Source organism: Homo sapiens, chromosome 9 (assembly GCF_000001405.40).
Source record: "Homo sapiens chromosome 9, GRCh38.p14 Primary Assembly".
Classification (NCBI taxonomy): domain Eukaryota; kingdom Metazoa; phylum Chordata; class Mammalia; order Primates; family Hominidae; genus Homo; species Homo sapiens.
The window spans coordinates 72,458,238-72,477,405 of NC_000009.12; the positions used below are offsets into that span (position 1 = coordinate 72,458,238).

Genomic DNA, 19,168 nt, shown 5'->3' on the forward strand with positions numbered 1-19,168 from the left:
AATCCATGCTCTCCATTGTCTCTGTAAAACTTGGACAATGCTTTTTGCAGAAAGCTAGCAGCCAGATGATTATTCTAGTACATTCATCCATTCCTTCCCCTATTGGTTGAGTTTTATGTTTACCAAGAGTCAGCTGAGTTTGTTCCCAGATCTGTTTATCTCAGTTATATTTATTATTGAAATTACATCATTTGTTAAATAGTGTAAAAGCCAAAGTAATATAAGTGTGAGAAAAAAAAAAGAGCTGTTTCTATGAGAAACTAATGCTTGGGATGAGTCTATAAGCATGTAATATAATCAGGTGTGAAGAAGACATCATAAAAAGCTAGAAAATACTGATAAATATCTAGAGAAGTCTATTTTTATATTTCTTCACAGCTGACCTTATTTTCTTATTCCACTTTAAAGAAACTGAAACTGGAGATCAAAGATGACGCTTTTATGTGAGAAAGCAATAGAACTCCAATCAAACTGTAAGAAAATGTTCTACAACGAAAGATTGATGAATGAATGCAGAGAGAAATAATTGATGCCAAAATATACTATTCAGCTATACTTGTATAATTTCTTAACTTTTCTCACTTTAACTTTTTTTTTGGATTAACCAACTAACTACCAATCCTGACTGTATTTGATTACAGGGAATTTAATTTGTCATATTGAAGTCAGGGCCAGGCTAACATTTCCTTTGTTCTCTTAATACAGTTTTAACAGGATAAACTATACTAATGAAGAGTGTGGAAAACAGTTTTTTAAAACCAGGCATTTGAGGTATAAACATTTCAAAGCTGATTGCGTATTATAGGGTAGTAGTATCATTTTCTGGGTTTGAATTTTGCCTTCTCTTCTTACAAATTACTTTGTATCTTCAAGATATGGTTTCTAGCATTGAGACATTACCATAATAATACTAGCTCTCTGAGTTAAGAGGATTAACTGTTAATATACATAAAGTACAGCACCTGGCATATTGTAGAAACTAAAAATATGATATGATACTTATTCTTATCTCTTAAAGTAGGTTTCAAGTGCTTCTATTTTCCAACTAATTTTTAATATAGTGATGGGCTCTGGAATTTGCTGGATGAAAAAGAGTGAACTTTGTGCACCTTTTGAGGGTAGCTAATGCAAACTTGAGAGAACAACAGGATGGCTGGGACCATGTAATTAGATTTCATGGTGGCCAGAGGTCAAAACTGAGCAGCAAGCAGAACCTTCAGTTAAGGGTCAGCAATCAAGCACAGGCAGAGATCAGTATTTTCAGTGGAGCTCCCAAGTGCCCCTATGTATAAAGCACTGTTGCTGAGGTCAATAAGCTATGCAGCCTGATTACCGCAGGCATGATCTACACTTGTTCTTCTATAGCTTACTGTCCACACAGCAGCAAGATTGAGCTAATTAAAGCCTAAAGTAGCCATGTCACTCCTGTACTCAAAACCATATAAAGTCTTCTCATTTCACTCAGAGTAAAAGCCAAAGTTCTTACAGTGAATGGCCTGTAAGGCCCTACAATGATCTGGGGCCCTGAGTTACTTCTCTGCTCTCATTTCTTATTATTCACTCTCCTCCAGCTGCACTAGTCTCCTTAATATTCTCTTTTTTTTTTTTTTTTTGAGACAGAGTCTTGCTCTGTTGCCCAGACTGGAGTGCAGTGGCACCCTCTCAGCTCACTGCAACCTCCGTCTCCCGGGTTCAAGTGATTCTCCTGCCTCAGCCTCCCATGTAGCTGGAATTACAGGCACCTGCCACCATGCCCGACTAATTTTTTGTATTTTTAGTAGAGATGGGGTTTTACCATGTTAGCCAGGCTGGTCTCAAACTCCTGACCTTGCCCGCCTCAGCCTCCCAAAGCGCTGGGATTATAGGTGTGAGCCACCATGCCTGGCCTTCTTAATATTCTTTAAAAATAAGTCCTGGCTCACGCCTGTAATCCCAGCACTCTAGGAGGCTGAGGCGGCAGATCACCTGAGGTCAGGTGTTCGAGACCAGCCTGGCTAACACAGTGAAACCCCATCTCTACTAAAAATACAAAAATTAGCCAAATATGGTGGCACAAGCCTGTAATCTCAGCTACTTGGGAGGCTGAGACAGGAGAATCACTTGAACCCAGGAGGTGGAGGTTGCAGTGAGCCTAGATCGCACCACTGCACTCCAGCCTGGATGACAGTGAGACTGTATATAGCTCTCTTTATGTAAAAATAATAAGAATAAGAATAAGTATAAGTCCTGCACTCTCTGGTCCTGTGACCTTGGTTGTTCCTTTTGCCGGGAAGTCTCCGTTGCCCACAGCTGCTTGCCTGGCTTCTGCTCCCTCACCCTCTCAGGTCTTTGCTAAAATCTCACTTTCCCACGGAGGGCTGCCTTGACCACGACTTACACTCCCACATTCTCCTATACTCTGCTCCTTTTTCTTTTTATATTATATAGCTTATTTATTCATTGTGTTTATTTTTTCTTATCTGCCTTTCTTTGTAATTTCTTTGAGGGCAGGGATCTTTATCTATTTTGTTCACTTATGCATCCCAAGTGCTTAGAACAGTATTTGGCACGTCATTAAATATTGATTTAATGAACGAATGAACAAGTGAATGCATTTCAGGCCTGGCCTGAAAACAGTTCAAGATATTCTTTGCCAGGGGCTAAGCAAAACCATCAATCTCTGGGGATTTATTGAGAAGAGCAATGATCTTGTTAGACTGAAATGGCTCTTTGACTTCAATCACAGTTTGAAAATCTCCCTTTTCCCTAAGTCCCATTACTTTCTCAATTTTATAGCCTCAGATTCAGGTTTACTCAGGCAAAGAGAATCAGAGAACTGTGGATAAGGCCCAGATGATCCAGATAATAAACATATCTTTGCTTCAATTTTGTGACATATGGGCAAATAGCTATTAAGGAGTTTTCCCCCTTTCCTTCATTACTTGTCTCTAGTTTGGTTTAATGATTACCTAATGATTCAGCAGTTTATGACCTTTCATTTTAACTCTTGTAGTTTCTGACCCTCTTATAGTGCATTCATTTTTGGTATTGAAGATTTATTAATTTCCTTCCTTCCCCTTTTTACCTAATTGCAATTTAAATGATTCCCATTTTCATAGGACGGAATATATAGTTCTCTTTATGTATAACATAATAATTATACAATAATATTAATTATAAAATCATTTAGATCTAATGAGCATGTACTATCTGCCAAGTTCTGATTTAGGAGCTTCAGACATATTTTCATCAATCTTCAGTTCTGCCTTACAGAGATTTTGAACTCAGGAAATTTACTTTGTTCTTTTCAGCAAGTATGTGTTCTATTGGCTGGCCCCACCAGAATCCCCAGAAGTGTTTGGTGACAGATCCCTGAATCCCAATCCCAGAAAACCTACAAACAATCAGCATTTTAACTTACTTCCAAAGTAAAGCCTATAGGCACTCAAGTTTGAGAAACACTGGATAAGAATTGAGGTAGACTATATCTTAGAACACACCGACAAGGGAATGATACAATGTGCCAGTAGCACATTGTAGTCATTAGTAGGTAGCTTTTTACCTATTACAGTTGAAGTTAACTCTCTTTCTGAAAGCCATATTCTGCTTCTCCTGCCCCTGTAGTATTTGACATACATGTTATCACCTACAAAAACAAACAAGATTCATCCTGAAGTTTCCAGCCAGAAGATATTGGTCAAGGAGACTTTTGTTCTTTCACAGGCCACGTTATGTCTTTAAGTTATTCCTTTGACTCTATGTCAAATTAATTTTGTAAGGAATAAAGGATTAGGCCGGGGACAGAGGCTCATTCCTGTAATCCCAGCACTTTGGGAGGCCAAGGCAGGTGGATCACCTGAGGTCAGGAGCTTGAGACCAGCCTGACCAACATGGAGAAACCCCATCTCTACTAAAAATACAAAATTAGCTGGGTGTGGTGGCACATGCCTATAATCCCAACTACTCGGGAGGCTGAGGGAGGAGAATTGCTTGAACTCGGGAGGCAGAGGTTGCAGTGAGCCGAGAACATGCCATTGCACTCCAGCCCGGGCAACAAGAGTGAAACTCTGTCTCAAAAAAGAAAAAGAAATAAGGGATTAACTCATTTTGTCAGTGCATCTGGGGACAGAAGGTAAAGTGAGTATCTGAAAAAGTAAAGTATAAAAATATGCATCAGGAAACGGACTAGCTTTTCTGAATTTTCTTACTTATTCAAGTAAAAGAAAACAGTATGACTCAAGAGTCAGATAAGTAAAATTCCATAGACCCATATCACCATAGTCAAATCAGATAGGGGAAGTAAACCAATTGTCTAGACGAGGAATTGGCAAACTCTGGGTCACAAGTCAAATCCTTCTGACTACCTATTTTCATAAATAAAGTTTTATTGAAACACAGCCATGCACATTACCTATGGAATGAATGAATGATGATATTTCTTGGTTGGACTCTCCACAGAAGAAATTAATTCAGAATCCAAAATCATGGGAAATGTTAAGCAATTGTTAACCTGTAACTCCACCCCCAGAACTAATCCATGGGCCATAAAACACGCATTCACCTACTCTGCAGGGAGAAAGAAGACAGGCTTTTTATGGAGAGACATTCAAGTGGAGGACATGCTCACCAGGGTGTGAAGAAGACCATTCGTTGATGTGTGGAGAAAGATATTATAATTTATGGTTTTACATTAATATGTAGAGAGAAGAAATTAAGCTTTACTAATATTTAATACACAGATTGGCAGTAGTCTGTGAATCCAACCCCAAAGAATTGGCTATAGAGTTCTCTTTTGCTTGATTTCATTGTGTTAACACATACTGAAGTTTGCATATACCTGGCTAAGTGGATTTAGGGATTTCATTACTGACTTCACAAAATAGACAAATAGATATAAAAGATTCCTGCAAAAGTGTCTAAGATTGAAGATAATAATTAATGCACTGCTTGATAATGGAAAAAAGTGGCAGAGTTGAAAGTTCCCTTAATCCTATGGAACTAGTTATTCAGCAGCCAAAGAAGAGGTAAAAGATGAATTTATACATTCTAATGAATTTTGAAATGATCAAGAGAATTATGAAATATGGATTTACTACCTCTATCATTGTAGGCCTCACCCTAGTTGAATACTGTGTCAACTTTAAACAAAAACTTTTGCATAATTGGAGGATTACATTAAAAAATAAGTACCATGATTTAGTAGGCAAGATAATGAGGTCTTTTTTTTTTATCACATCCTTGTATCATTAGGAATTAACTTTTTTGTTATGACAATCATTAAGATTAAATCCAGAAATAATAAACATAATGCCAGACTGAATCACAAAGATTTTAAAACATAATTAAGTATATTAAATCACACTGTTTACACATTTTAGTAGTCTTAATGATTTTTAAAAGTGAAAACAGAAAGATGTCTTTGTAAATTAATAAGATAGAAGTAAAACAAACCACTGGGTTATCTTGATTTCATCCTTTAAAAATGTCTATTTTGGAACAGAAAACCAAATATCACATGTTCTCACTTATAAATGGGAGCTAAATGATAAAAACCTATGAACACAAAGAAGGAAACAACAGACACTGGGGTGTACTTGAGAGGGAGGGTGGGAGGAAGGAGAGGAGCAGAAACGACAACTACTGGGTACTGGACTTAATATCTGGGTCATGAAATAATGTGTACAATAAACCCCCATGACATGTGTTTATATATGTAACAAGCCTTTATATGTATCCTCAAACCTGAAATAAAAATTTAAAAATTGTCTCTTTGTATATTTTTATCTATATTATATGCTAGTATAATAGTACATGCATATACTATCACATAATACTACACACATGTATATACTATGTATAGTACATGTGTGTGCATATATATACACACACACACACACACAAATTGAAAGTGTATGCTTAAATTTTGTTTTACTTATAGGTGGATAGGTCAAAAAATTTAGAAGCCACTGATTTAGACAATGATGTATGGATGCAACCTTCCTACTGGGATATCTTGGATTTATTGCTGCCTGACCTTTCCTTTGACTGAACTCCCCTTGACCTGCTGAAGGCCTGGGCAGAGTGACACAAATCACCATTACTCCTCTACATGCACTTCTGTAGCCATGCGTATTTCATATTGGCACATGCTTGCTTGTATATTTACATTTTCCACATTCATATTGTTTATCCTTATTTCTGGCTATTTAAATACTAGAGCTATTATTGATTAAATTTGCTTTGTGCAGTACCTTCCATAGCCATCTAGCTAACTAACACCCTTGCTACTGTCTATTTGCTTTTGTTCTGGGGAAATCATTGTATGATTACAGATTTCACAGATGCTGGGTATGTTTGGGGATGGCACAGTTTTCCTGGTGTCAAGGGAGGACTGACTTTAATGATATTGACTTTGTTTACTTTATGTCAGGGCAAGAAGTGAATTCTTTTAAGAAAAAATTCTATTCTGCCCCAACAATGTAAATGTATTTGGTATTTGTTGAGCTGCAAAGAGGCAACTTTCATACTACAAGTTTTGCTAAATCAGATGCCTCCTCTATGTCTTTTCTGGCCAAAAGAGATACGTAATTTCACATCTCAAAGGTCACATCTCTTCAAGATTTTTCCTGTCTGGGAACAACCATAGTCTCTAACAGTACCACTGGCATTGGCGAAAGCTCTCTTCAATTCTTCTTCATTACGTCATAGGATTTCTTCATTAGATCAAGTTCATATCTGATTCTAGCAGTTCTCTTTTTTCTCCGTCAATTTCAGCATACTGCAGAAGTTATGCCTTTTGTATTTGTCCATCGAGAAAACCTCAGAGGTTGATGTCTGCTACTAGACCGGCCAGAAAGTCTGGTCTCTCACTAGCTTCCTCCTTGCATTCAGGAAGCCAATCTCAAGTGCAAACCTCACAGCTTATCCGGAGTTCGGCAGATGTCAAAATGCTTCCATTCCCTCCCAGTCCAACCCTTATCCCCAGCAGCAATCTGGTGCCAGTTTTAATTAAAATTCATGAAAACAGACTGGCACTTCAGACACGGATGGAAACAATTTGTAGGGGAGGCAAAAAATAGCAGGGGTATACTTCTCATGTTTACTCTCTATCGTCCTGTAAGGATTTCATTTTTGAGTGAAAGCAGTTTGAATTGGACATATGCTCAGTTTGAATAATTTAGGGAGGAATTCACAATAACTGCCTCTGATGTGGACTGAGCTCTGTTCTCATGACTAAAGAGGTTTATTTCTTCTTTAAGAAAAAGTTTAATTATGGCAACTTCATATTGAAAATTAATAGCTTGGGGGAATTTAGAAGGAAAAAATAGAGGAAAATTAACTTTTTGAGATGTACAAGACTTGGAACAGTTTTATAAATGAGAAATCATTAACTGGTATTGTAGTAAAGTGTTTTTGCATAAGGATGAAGAAGACATGAGTCTTAAATGTGTGTAACTAGTATAACATGTGTACGACACTCATACTAGCCAGTAAATCCCAGACAGGAAAAAGCAGCTACACACCCACATTTTCTATTTATATTTCCTTTACCTAAAGCAGTCATTTGTTTATACTTACAATGTGCCAGGCATGTATTGGGCCTTTTAGGTGAATCATCTTAGCAGTTCTTAATATATTTTTTCACTGTTAGGAGTATGCTACATTCTCATTAGAAGTAGCAGCTCCTAAACAGTGGTGTAGTGACCCATCCTTCTTGGTTTGGAGGAAGGAGGTTGGCGGGAAACGTGAGAGTCTCTGGGTTGGATAATCTAGAATTTAAACCTAAACCTGGCTTCAGAGCCTATGTTCTAAGCCACTATACTCTAATAGCTCCCAGCTTTCTCATCTTTCACTGCCCAAAGTATCTACCAGGAATATTCAATGAATATGGGTTGAGTTAAATTGTGACTGTTTAGCAGTCATAATAAAAAAGGGTAGAATGAATGGGTTCCAGGAATGTGACAGACCTACAAGTATTTCCTATCAGATCCCTTTCTCTACCTACAAATGTTTGATTCTTCTGTTTCGCTCAAGAGACCCATCACTGTGGATCTGGCTGGTTAACTCTGTGGGAGGTGGGGGCAGGTACATGAAATTGGGAAGAGATAGAAGAACTAAAGGTGATGAATGGGTTGCTACCTTGAGTAAGAAATTCCAGTCCCAGCTGAAACTCTTACCTTAATGTGGCACTTGAAATAAATGGGGTCAAAAGAGTTTTGAAGAGCTAGGAAAGATGAGATTGAGATGGTGCCTGTCTGAATAAGGGGAAGGGGAATTCACAGATATGCTTCTGGTAGAGACTTGCATTGGCTGGTGGTGTCTTCACTGAAAGAATGGATATGAAAGAAAGAGTAAACTCTTTCCCATGCAACAGGATTCAAGTCAAATGTTACCTCTTTTAGGAAGCTCCTGCCTGGGTTAGGCCTTCACTATGCTGTATTGCCACAGCTCACTGTTAATGTCTTAAATGCAGAATTTAACTGACTTCATTATGTTAAGTACCTACTCCAGGGTAGGTGGGCCCCAGTAGTTTGTCTGTTTCTCTTTATCAGATGCTGACTGAATAAATAATTGATGAAAAAAATGCCAACATATTTGTGAAACCCCAATTATGAACATTATGGTTTATATAATAAATATGTGTGCTTAGTGTGTTAGAAGCCAAAAAAGAAAAACAAGAGGGGGAGAACCAACTATTTAACAAGTAGGAGGTGTTTTGCACTCTGTGATGAACTGCATGGCATATTTCTTACTTTCAGATTAAAATGGAAATGGCTCTAGGCTCTACCTGCAGAATTAAGGAAATTCCATGATCACACTCCTGACCTCCCAACCCCTTCGCCTGGGTTATTTGGATTCCTAGGGACTTGTGCACCCACACATAGTGTGCCAGGTTCCATTCTCAAGTGACTAAGGGCCCTGGTGAATCCCTGTTCACTGCTGCTTTCACTGGGATCTGCTGGGGTCACAAATTTTCTATTGTACCTCTGGCCCTGTGGCATCAGGGATTAGCAACATGTCAACTTATACAGTTTGCTGCTGAGTAGCATGGACTTTGAAGGAGAGTGGCATAAAAGCATAATACAACTTGCTCTCTGACAGTTCAGAACCCTCTGCACAGCCATGCCCCTCTACTGTCATTCACCAAACCAAAGCACGTCCAGGTATCTCCCTGTCTCAGAAAGGACAATCACTATTCCTTTTTTGAATTCTAGAATTTCCTCAAGGTCTGGGTTTCTTTCCTTCTTCATCCTTCTAAAATAGAAATGGTACCCTCTGTTCTTTCTTCCCACAGTGAAACTTAAAGGGCCATTAGAAGGGCTTGGGCTTTAGAAACACAAGACTCGGTCCACTGCCCTTTCCTGGGGTTGGGGGTAGAATAGCTTTTATTCCTTTTTAACAAGTTATCCACTCCATGGATAGGAGACTTTTTAATATATAGCAAAAATTCCAATACAAGTTAAATTATCACCTGCAGGTCACTCTGCTACTCAAAGATGCATAGAATAAGAATTTGTGCTATTGTTAATTGCTCTTTTGCAAAGTGTAGAGTTTCCTTTCTAGTTATGACCTAAACATAAAGAAAACCTATGTCACAATGTTTAACCTTTATAAATTTTTTTTAGCTCTTCTTAAAAAAAAAGTCCTGGTAGACAGTCCAGAGAGGAAACATTGCCAAGTTTGCTGCCAAGGGCCTCACAGAGAGAAAACTGAAGAAGCCAAACTCACAGGGCTTTACAGCCTCCTGATATCCTGTCACTGCGATGGTTTGGCAGTAATTCCTCAGGATCAGTGTGGAGGGGAGGGAGGTAGAGAAATCTCCCCATAGGGTTATACTTGGCTATGATTGCTCCTATCATTTTATGCCTGGAACTCAATAAGATTGTTTGTCATATTAACAGGCATAGCTCCTCATCAAAGCATATCCATAGTGCCGGAGAACCTAGGCCAGCTTATCTCAGCTACACACTGTGTCCAGAACTCTCCTGGGAATTATTTAGGTAATTGTGGCGAGACCAGACTACTGACTCATTGACCCCTCTCTTACGATGGGTTGGTTCCTCCTTCGGAAGCATATCCTTGGGGCCCTTCCCTGTCCACTGATCTCAGTCGAGACCATTTAAAATGGTGAAACTCATTAGAGTTGGGGGTTGAGCATTTTATTTTCCTAGAGACTCCTTGGTTTCTAGACAAATGTGTTCATTCCCTACTTAGCATCCTTTGAGTTGAACACACAGAGATGATAGGGGTGTGGGGTACATTGTCAAGCCACAAACATAACCTGCTCTGTAATAATACCCTCCTACATTGTTATCTTGCTTTGGCACAGTATGATTCAAGTCTTAATCTTAACACTAAAATTAAGTGGTTTCACTCTATTAAAGGCATCATCCTCAACTGAAACTCACTAAAGCATATACACGTCACGTGGAACAGCTGAACACAAAGCTCTTAATCTGAAGTTGACCTATTTAGTAAACCTATAGCTCAGAATTTGACCTCATCACCTCAGAAAATCAGGGATAAAATCTGTCTTTATATTGTTTCAGGTACTTGGGTATCAGAGACATTATTTGTTTATCAAGACCTAACAAAACACTTTCTTATTTTTTAAAATTTCTGTGTGTGTGTGTGTGTGTGTGTGTGTGTGTGTGTGTGTATTTTACCTTTCACATTGTTCTTTTTTAAACCTTGCTTTGGAAGGAACCCAGTGTGAAACCATGGGTGTGGGCCTCCACATGCCAAAGCCTTAAGGAATTCACTTACAGTGTATTTAAGGCTCAGTTGAGGCTTCTGAATTCCACTCAGTACAGGTGGTAGTGTGTGTGGAGTACATGTGATCAGCACTGAACAGTAAGAGGTTCAGTGCTGGGTTAGGGAGGGAGGAAGAGAGAATATAAACAACCTGGAAACCTGTTTAGATCATGACAGGTGGCTGTTGATTAGGACAGGCACATAACTCACCTGGGTGCCTTAGTGGAAATGTCATGCCTTATTTTAGAAGGAAATTAGTCAGTGATAAGAGATACAACTCTAAGGAATAAATAACATTCTAATAACATATTTAAGTGTGTCATTTACCAACAAGATCAGTTTTCAAATTTTCTTTTGACAAAGACTAAAATAAAAACAAAACATGATGCTGAAATGATGGATCTGTGAACAGAGATTTGTTAAAAACACACAAAAACTGACAGGAGATTATAAGACATACTTTTCCCCCTATAATTCTATGAAATACTAGTTTTTTAAAAAGATAGTTTAAAAATAACTTGTAAAATTTGATCGAGTGCAGGCAAATCTATAGAGAAGTAGACAGATCAGTTATGACCTGGGGCTGGGGATGGTAGCAAGGGATGACCATAAACTGACAAAGTTATATTTTTGAGGTGATGAACATGTTCTAAAACTGGATTGTGGGGCCAGGCACAGTGGCTCACGCCTGTAATCCCAGCACTGTGGGAGGCCGAAGCGGGTGGATCACCTGAGGTCAGGAGTTCAAGACCAGCCTGGCCAACATGGCGAAACCTCGTCTCTATTAAAAATACAAAAAGTCAGCCAGGCATGGTGGCACACGCCTGTAATCCCAGCTATTTGGGAGGCTGAGGCAGGACAATTGCTTGAACCCAGGAGGCAGAGGTTGCAGTGAGCCATGATCGAGCCACTGCACTCCAGCATGGGCGATAGAGGGAATCTCCATCTCAAAAAAAAAAAAAAAAGAAAGAAAGAGAAAGAAAGAAAAAATAGAATGGGGGTTGCTATGGATGGAGGGATGTGAGGAAGGAATGGAGAGTTATTTAATTGGTATAGAGTTTCAATTTTGCAAGATGAATTGCCTCCCGGAGATGGATGTTGGTGATGTTTGTATGTACTTTATACCACTGAAGTGTGCACTTAAAAATGGTTAAGATGGCAAATTTTATATGTGCATTTTACCACAATTAATAATTTTTTTAACTTTTTAAAAAAATAACCAAGTGTGCTTGTCTGTTCTAGAAATGAAAACATTAATTTTATCTACTCTGATCTCTGGAATATATAAATCATCAATAAATAATCATGGCTTCTTACCTTGCCACTGAGTCACATGGAGGTGGAGGCTGCAGTGCATTCAAGATTTGACTTCACCTGTAATCCACCGCCATAGCTGTGGATTGCTGGAGGTGTAATGGACATTAATACTGCTTTTCAAGAGGTGCTGAAAACCGCCCTCATCCATGGTGGCCTAGCATGTGGAATTCATGAAGCTGCCAAAGCCTTACACAAGTGCCAAGCCCATCTTTGTCTGCTTACATCCAACTGTGATGAGTCTGTGCATGTCAAGTTGGTGGATGCCCTTTGTGCTGAACAGCAAATGAACCCAATTAAGGCTGATGACAATAAGAAACTAGGGGAATGCCGGGCGCAGTGGCTCACGCCTGTAATCCCAGCACTTTGGGAGGCTGAGGCAGGCGGATCATGAGGTCAGGAGATTGAGACCAACCTGGCCAACATGGTGAAACCCCGTCTTTACTAAAATACAAAAAATTAGCCAGGCGTGGTCATGCATGCCTGTAGTGCCAGCTACTCAGGAGGCTAAGGCAGCGGAATCACTTGAACCCGGAAGGCGGAGGTTGCAGTGAACCGAGATTGTGCCACTGCACTCCGGCCTGGCAACAGAGCAAGATGCTGTCTCAAAAAAAAAAAAAAAAGAAAGAAAGAAAAGATAAGAAACTAGGGGAATGGGTAGGCCTCTGTAAAATTGACAGAGAGAAGAAGCCCCTTAAAGTGGTTGGTTGCAATTGTGTAGTAGTTAAGGACTATGGCAAGGAGTCTCAGCCAAGGATGTTATCGAAGGGTCCTTCAAATGCAATAAATGAACACATAAAACTTTGGCTCTCACACATACACACACACAAATTGTTGTGGCTATAAATGCAGCCATAGTTGTGTTGATAAATTCTGATCTTGTCTTTGCTATTCCTTTGGGTAGTTCATCTGTTTTTATGGAAATAAAGCTCGCCTTTGTATGGATAATTTCACCTAGACCAATTTTACCAATTCTGGTCATGCAGTTCTAACTTCTTGCATGGTGGTTTCACTGGAACATTACCAAATTACCCCAGGCACATCATGGCTAAATGAAAAGTCATGTTCTTTGTCTGTAACCAGTGTCTGCCTCTTGAATTTCCTGTGTCTTTTAGTGGTTATTGTCATTGTCTTAGTTATTATAGCTTAGATCCACGGGGTCATTTTGGATCCTGTCTATTTTGCAGTGACAATTATTATTATTATTATTTTTTGCCTTCATTCTTTTCTATTCCTAAACATACTATACAACATTTGAGGTAAATTTAACTTTTAAAACATTCAAGCCCCAGGAGGCTGAGGTTGCAGTGAGCCAAGATCACGCCGTTGCACTCCAGCCCAGGCGGCAGTTGGAGACTCTGTCTCAAAAAAAAAAAAAAAAAAAAAAAAAAAATCAAGCCATCCACTAACTTTTCCAAAGTAATCTCCTGCTATAATCAAGATCAATTATCTTCTTCTCCCAGTGTAGACTACTTAATGTCTGCATTTTTATTTTCCAGTGTTTTTCACCCACTTCTTTCCAAAAATAATGGTCTTCTTCCTCTTTTCCACTTAATCTAATGATCTCTTCCCATCAAACTTCCTTCTCCAGAAACTTTCCCAGGTTACTGCAGCCTGTAGCCATCTTAATCTCTGAATGGCTGCCTCGACACTTACTATTTCCTTTGAGTCACACAGTGGCCCTATCAACTCAGTGTCAGACAGGCATAACAAAAGCAGACCCAGGATGGTCAGAGTAGGGGATGGGGATGGATGAGGATGAGGGATGTGAAGATGGGGGTGTCAAATGATAGAAGTGTGTTGACAGGAGGCCAAGAGCTGAAAGGGGATTGTGGCCAAGGTTAGATAGTGAATTTGCTCAATAGGAGACACAAATGTGAATAAAAGGTGCATGAAAGTCAATCTTTGGGAAAGCCAGGAGAACAATGAGAATAAGTATTGAGTTAAACCGAAATATCCCAACTTCCGATAAGATTTCTAGTCACTGTGTCTTGACTAGTGCACAGTCCCAGGCCACAGGGCAGATTAGGAGACAGAACATAGGTGTGGCATTTGACACATGGTTCCTAATCCCGGTTCTGCCACTTACTTTCTGTGTAATCTTGGGCAAATTACTTGAACTTTCTGAGCCCGTTGTTTTCATCTCTAGAATAAAGATAACAAAACCAAGATTATAAAGTCATCGTGATGATGAGATAAAATAAAATAATGTAGATAGGCTGGGCGCGGTGGCTCACGCCTGTAATCCCAGCACTTTGGGAGGCTGAAGCAGGCAGATCACGAGGTCAGGAGATCGAGACTATCCTGGCTAACATGGTGAAACCCCATCTCTACTAAAAATACAAAAAAATTAGCTGGGCATGGTGGCAGGCGCCTGTAGTCCCAGCTACTTGGGAGGCTGAGGCAGGAGAATGGCGTGAACCCGGGAGCTGGAGGTTGCAGTGAGCTGACATCGTGCCACTGTGCTCCAGCCTGGGCTACAGAGTGAGACTCCATCTCAAAAAAAAAAAAAAAAAAAAAAAATATATATATATATATATATAGATAGATAGATAGATAGATAGACAGATATAGATATAGATAAAGTTCCTAGTGGATGCTCAGTAATGGTAGCTATCAAATTTTTACTTGGTCTGAGAATAATTACTCTGATTACTCTGTAGCTATGAATGAAAACTATCTTTCTTATGATGTATAAAGAAAATATCATTACTACATCACTGTGTCAATAAAGCTTAGTGTTCATGAATGTCAGCCCATAGCTTAAGTATGTAAGAAATATTGCCTTCCTTTATTCCTTTTTTCCTTCCTACCTTCCCCTCTATTTTTTTCTTTCTATTTAATTTTGACTCCAATATAGACTGTTGGGAGTTTCAATCTCAATGATTCTTGGGATTCCCCACCTTCTTCAGTTTTACACCAAGGGTGCAGAATCTTTAACTGAGGCACTAGGCAAATCCTGCTACTCACTGGTCTCTGTCTACATCAAGTCCTGCTGAGATGCCTACCATGCCTAGAACTCCTTCCGACGTTTTCCACAATTGGACACCAGGGATCTTTGGTCAATCTAGGAATACTAGGTCTAAGTCTAGTGTCTTAGGAAACCACATGGAAATACGGAAGGAAGAAGGACAGAAGGAAGAAAGGGTGGAAGAAAGGAAGGAAAGAAAAAAGCCACTGGCTCAGGGTCAACTGGGTTTGTTTATTAGGCAATAGATTAACAGGTGAAGAAAGCCATGTAGTCTAGGTAGAAATGAAAACCTCTGGAGGAAAAAATAGAGTGGAAAAGAGCAGAAGGAAAAAGGCCATGGAAAAGCCTAAAGCCCAAACTATTGTAGAGATTTTTCATTTGCAATTTGCAAGTTTTCTTCTGGTAGAAGAGACATGCAATGTATAAAGGGTATTTCCAGTTGACTCAGAGAAAGAGAACTCATGGGTCATGTGAAGCAGGAAGAACATAATAAATGACTTCATGGTTTGGTCTTACTCTAACTTGATTACTTGACTTCATCTTGTTTCTTCACCTGTAAAATGTAGAAGTTCTAAACACAAACTCTTAAAAATATATTTGAATTCTAAAATTCTCTAAATCATGTGAATTGAGAAAGATAATTTTATAGGATGGGCTTTGCTATGGTTTTCAGAGTCATGACTATGAAAGAAAAATGAAGTCAGAGGCAAAATAATCTCTTCTTCTTCCCAGGTGCCATTCCTCTTTGACTGCATCTCTGTTACAGCAGGTATAACTTTCAGTTCTGATTTATGGCCTTTTACTGGCAAGTCTTATCTTCTTGTTTACTACCAGTTTAAATTCTTTAAGGAACTAATTCAGCTACCCAGACCTATCTTCCTTCTCTTTTCCCTCCCTGCTCATACATATTCTCCTTGAACCTAGTAAGCACAAACAATTTTTTCATAAGCAAATGGAAATGACCAGCTTTAAAAACTCAATAATTTCCTCTGAAGGTTACTCGTTGACTTCTCTTGGAAAGTTGTTTCTGTGGCTTACATCCTGACAAACTGAAACTGCTTTTGTCCTAACATATTTATTATTAAATTTTCACCACTGTGCTTAATGCTTTACAGTAATTTTCTCTTTTAATCTCACAACAACCCTGAAGAGCAGATCTGAATGCCATTTTGAAGACAGGAAAACAAAGGCCCACAGAGGTTATAGGATTTGCTAAAGATCATTCAGCTACTAAGGAGCAGAAGCAGGACATGATTCCAAGTCTTTCAGATTCCAAAGCCCACCTCCATATAGTAGAGGTGCGTTCTCAATTCTCTAAATACAGCTAATAGTAACTACTTCACAATTGGAAAGGCCAACTGATTTGTGGATATGCATAGAATAATAATAACGGTAAATTTGGAAACAAAACGACCTCTCCCCAAATCACTCTGAACAGAGTCTGATTTTTAGCAGCTATTTTGTGATATAACATACAGCATTGAAGTCTAGCCTTGAGTTTGTAATCATGGTGCTTACACAGGGTCATCAGGAGTTTGCAAACACAGTTACTCTGCTCTTAAGCAACAGAAGTTTTCAGTGAGAGAAAAAGGAAAACATTTTAAATATAAACATTTTGGAAAGAAACTGATGACCCATCCCATTAGAACGATTCAGACGGGAAATAATAGCCCTTTACTTTCAGCTTATTCTGAATAAGCAAGTATTTTCAGTGTGCATTCCATAATGACTCCCAATTCTCAGAACACTGAAAAACCTTTCAACAAACTCCAGAGGAAAATAAAGTCTGCTGTTGGTGAGACAGGGAACAAGATACCATCATCGCACAGTGACTGCCCAACTCTACAATAAACACATCAGGGAATATCTCCTGTATGTGTATGACACATTCTTAATCCACAATAAATATGTATTTGAACAGTAGATGTATTTTTCTTTCTAAAGAACAATTTTCTGTAGATATTTATGTCTGATTAAACATCAGAACAGAATCTACTTGCCTGTTCTCAGAAGTCCCTGTTTTACCTTAAGTATCCCTTTTTCATAATCTGGTTCAGTAACAGCTTTTTTGATTGAAAACTTCTTTTGGTTTGACAGTTTTTTTAATGTATGACATAAAAGTTTTAATTTAATATGCCAACTCATCTACTCTTTCCTCATTTATACTTTTTTTTTTCCCTCCAGTGGCACGATCTCAGCTCACTGCAACCTCTGCCTCCTGGGTTCAAGAGATTCTCCTGCTTCAGCCTCCCGAGTAGCTGGGATTACAGGCGCCCGTCATCATGCTCGGCTAATTTTTGTGTTATTAGTAGAGACGAGGTTTCACCATGTTGGCCAGGCTGGTCTCAAACTCTTGACCTCAGGTGATCCACCCGCCTCGACCTCCCAAAGTGCTGGGATTACAGGCATAAGCTACCACACCTGGCCTATACCTTTAAAAAATAAATAAATAAATAACTAGGCCGGCCAGGTGCAGTGGCTCACGTCTGTAATCCCAGCACTTTGGAGGCCAAGGCGTGTGGATCACGAGGTCAGGAGTTTGAGACCAGCCTGGCCAACATGGCGAAATCCCATCTCTACTAATAACACAAAAATTAGCTGAGCATGGTGGCGGGTGCCTGTAATCCCAGCTACATGGGAGGCTGAGGCAGGAGAATCTCTTGAACCCGGGAGGCAGAGGTTGCAGTGAGCCGGGATTGCGCCACTGCACTCCGTCCTGGGTGAAAAGAGCGAGACTCTGTCTCAAAAAAAAAACAAAAAACAAAAAAAAAAAACCAAACTGGACTGGGTGTGGTGGCTTTAACTGGACTGGGTGTGGTGGCTTACACCTGTAATCCCAACACTTCGGGAGGCTAAGGCAGGTGGACTGCTTGAGCTCAGCAGTTTGAGAGCAGCCTGGGCAATATAGCAAGACCCTGTCTCTACTAAAATCAAAAACAAATTAGCTGGGTTTGGTGGCACATGCCTGTAGTTCCAGATACTTATGAGGCTGAGGCAGGAGGATCACTTGAGCCCAGGAGATTGTGGCTGCAGTGAGCTATGATAACACACCCTGGCAACTGTTTGCTGCTACTGCTTATCTCACACAGGTGAGGAAAATGACCTCTCTGCGTGTCATTTCTGGCTCTATTACTCAAACTCTCTGACTCTAGCAATTATGGAGAATAAACAAAATTTTGGAGGAGAAAACATTAATTATTCACTTTTTGGTGAAATATGTCGATTTTTTGGTATATGTATGATTTTTAGTCTTTACATAGAATTTTCTCTATTGGATTTTATATTTTAGTAAATGAAAGAAAAATCTCATTTAAAAATGTGTGTCCTATATTCCTATTACCATGAGTTTCTACAAATTATAATAAAATCTTTTTACTGGAAAATATCTACAAAATAGCAAATTGATAAAGGAATGAGGAATATTTCAAGCTACTTCCAAGGATGATTGAAGTTTGACAAATTCAACTCCCAGAATCCATCATTTTTGAGGCTGATGGTTGTTTGTGTGTGGGTGGGTATGCACACATGTGTGTTTATGTGTGCAGAGATGATACTAAAAACCACAGATGACAAATTGGTGATTATTCTCACAGATATGTTTTGACCTCCTAGCATAGTATGTTGCAAAATCAAATTTATTGCAAACATTTATAAATCAGCAAACAACAAGAAAGCAGAATTCTGTAATCTCTTAGAAATGAGAAAATGTGGCAAAATGGGACCCTTAAACTCTCAATGCAAAGATTGGCTGGAGTTACGGAGAGACTGCAGAAGTAACCAGTGTTCATGATTTCCAATTATCTCATTCATCCTCATTGCTATGCATTACCTACCTGGCCCCTGTAGATATTTGAGTTTGAGGCCCTTGCTTTGAAGAAAACTCTGTGGGATTTCTTTCTAAAGTGGTCGATGACTCACTGATTTTATGGATAGTGACTCACAGTAGAGACATATTGGAGGTGTCTCAGGCCAGCTCACCAGCCAGGTGTAAAAGAAGGCTGCCTGTTAAGGAGCTCTAATAGCCCCACCCCTTCAGGCTCATGTGGATGAAGAGTCATATTGGAAGAGGCAAGAACAGCTTCACAAATCCTGAGGGAATGTGCCAAACTTCCATCCTCCTTGGAAGCAGCTTGAAATTGTACAACTGTC

General features: G+C 39.3%; 1 pseudogene, besides 2 other annotated features; it reads left to right on the forward strand.

Moving 5' to 3' along the window:
* On the forward strand, positions 12,046–12,861 carry LOC100289351 (ribosomal protein S12 pseudogene; annotated as a pseudogene).
* Positions 15,371–15,470: an enhancer, noted in NCBI's record as "active region_28459". NCBI's record gives its function as "activates an Ori minimal core promoter by ATAC-STARR-seq in GM12878 lymphoblastoid cells {active_cell/tissue: GM12878}" and the evidence as "EXISTENCE:reporter gene assay evidence [ECO:0000049][PMID:35858748]".
* Positions 18,816–19,110: an enhancer, noted in NCBI's record as "tiled region #9116; K562 Activating DNase unmatched - State 8:EnhW". NCBI's record gives its function as "activates a minimal TATA promoter and a strong SV40 promoter by Sharpr-MPRA in K562 cells {active_cell/tissue: K562}" and the evidence as "EXISTENCE:reporter gene assay evidence [ECO:0000049][PMID:27701403]".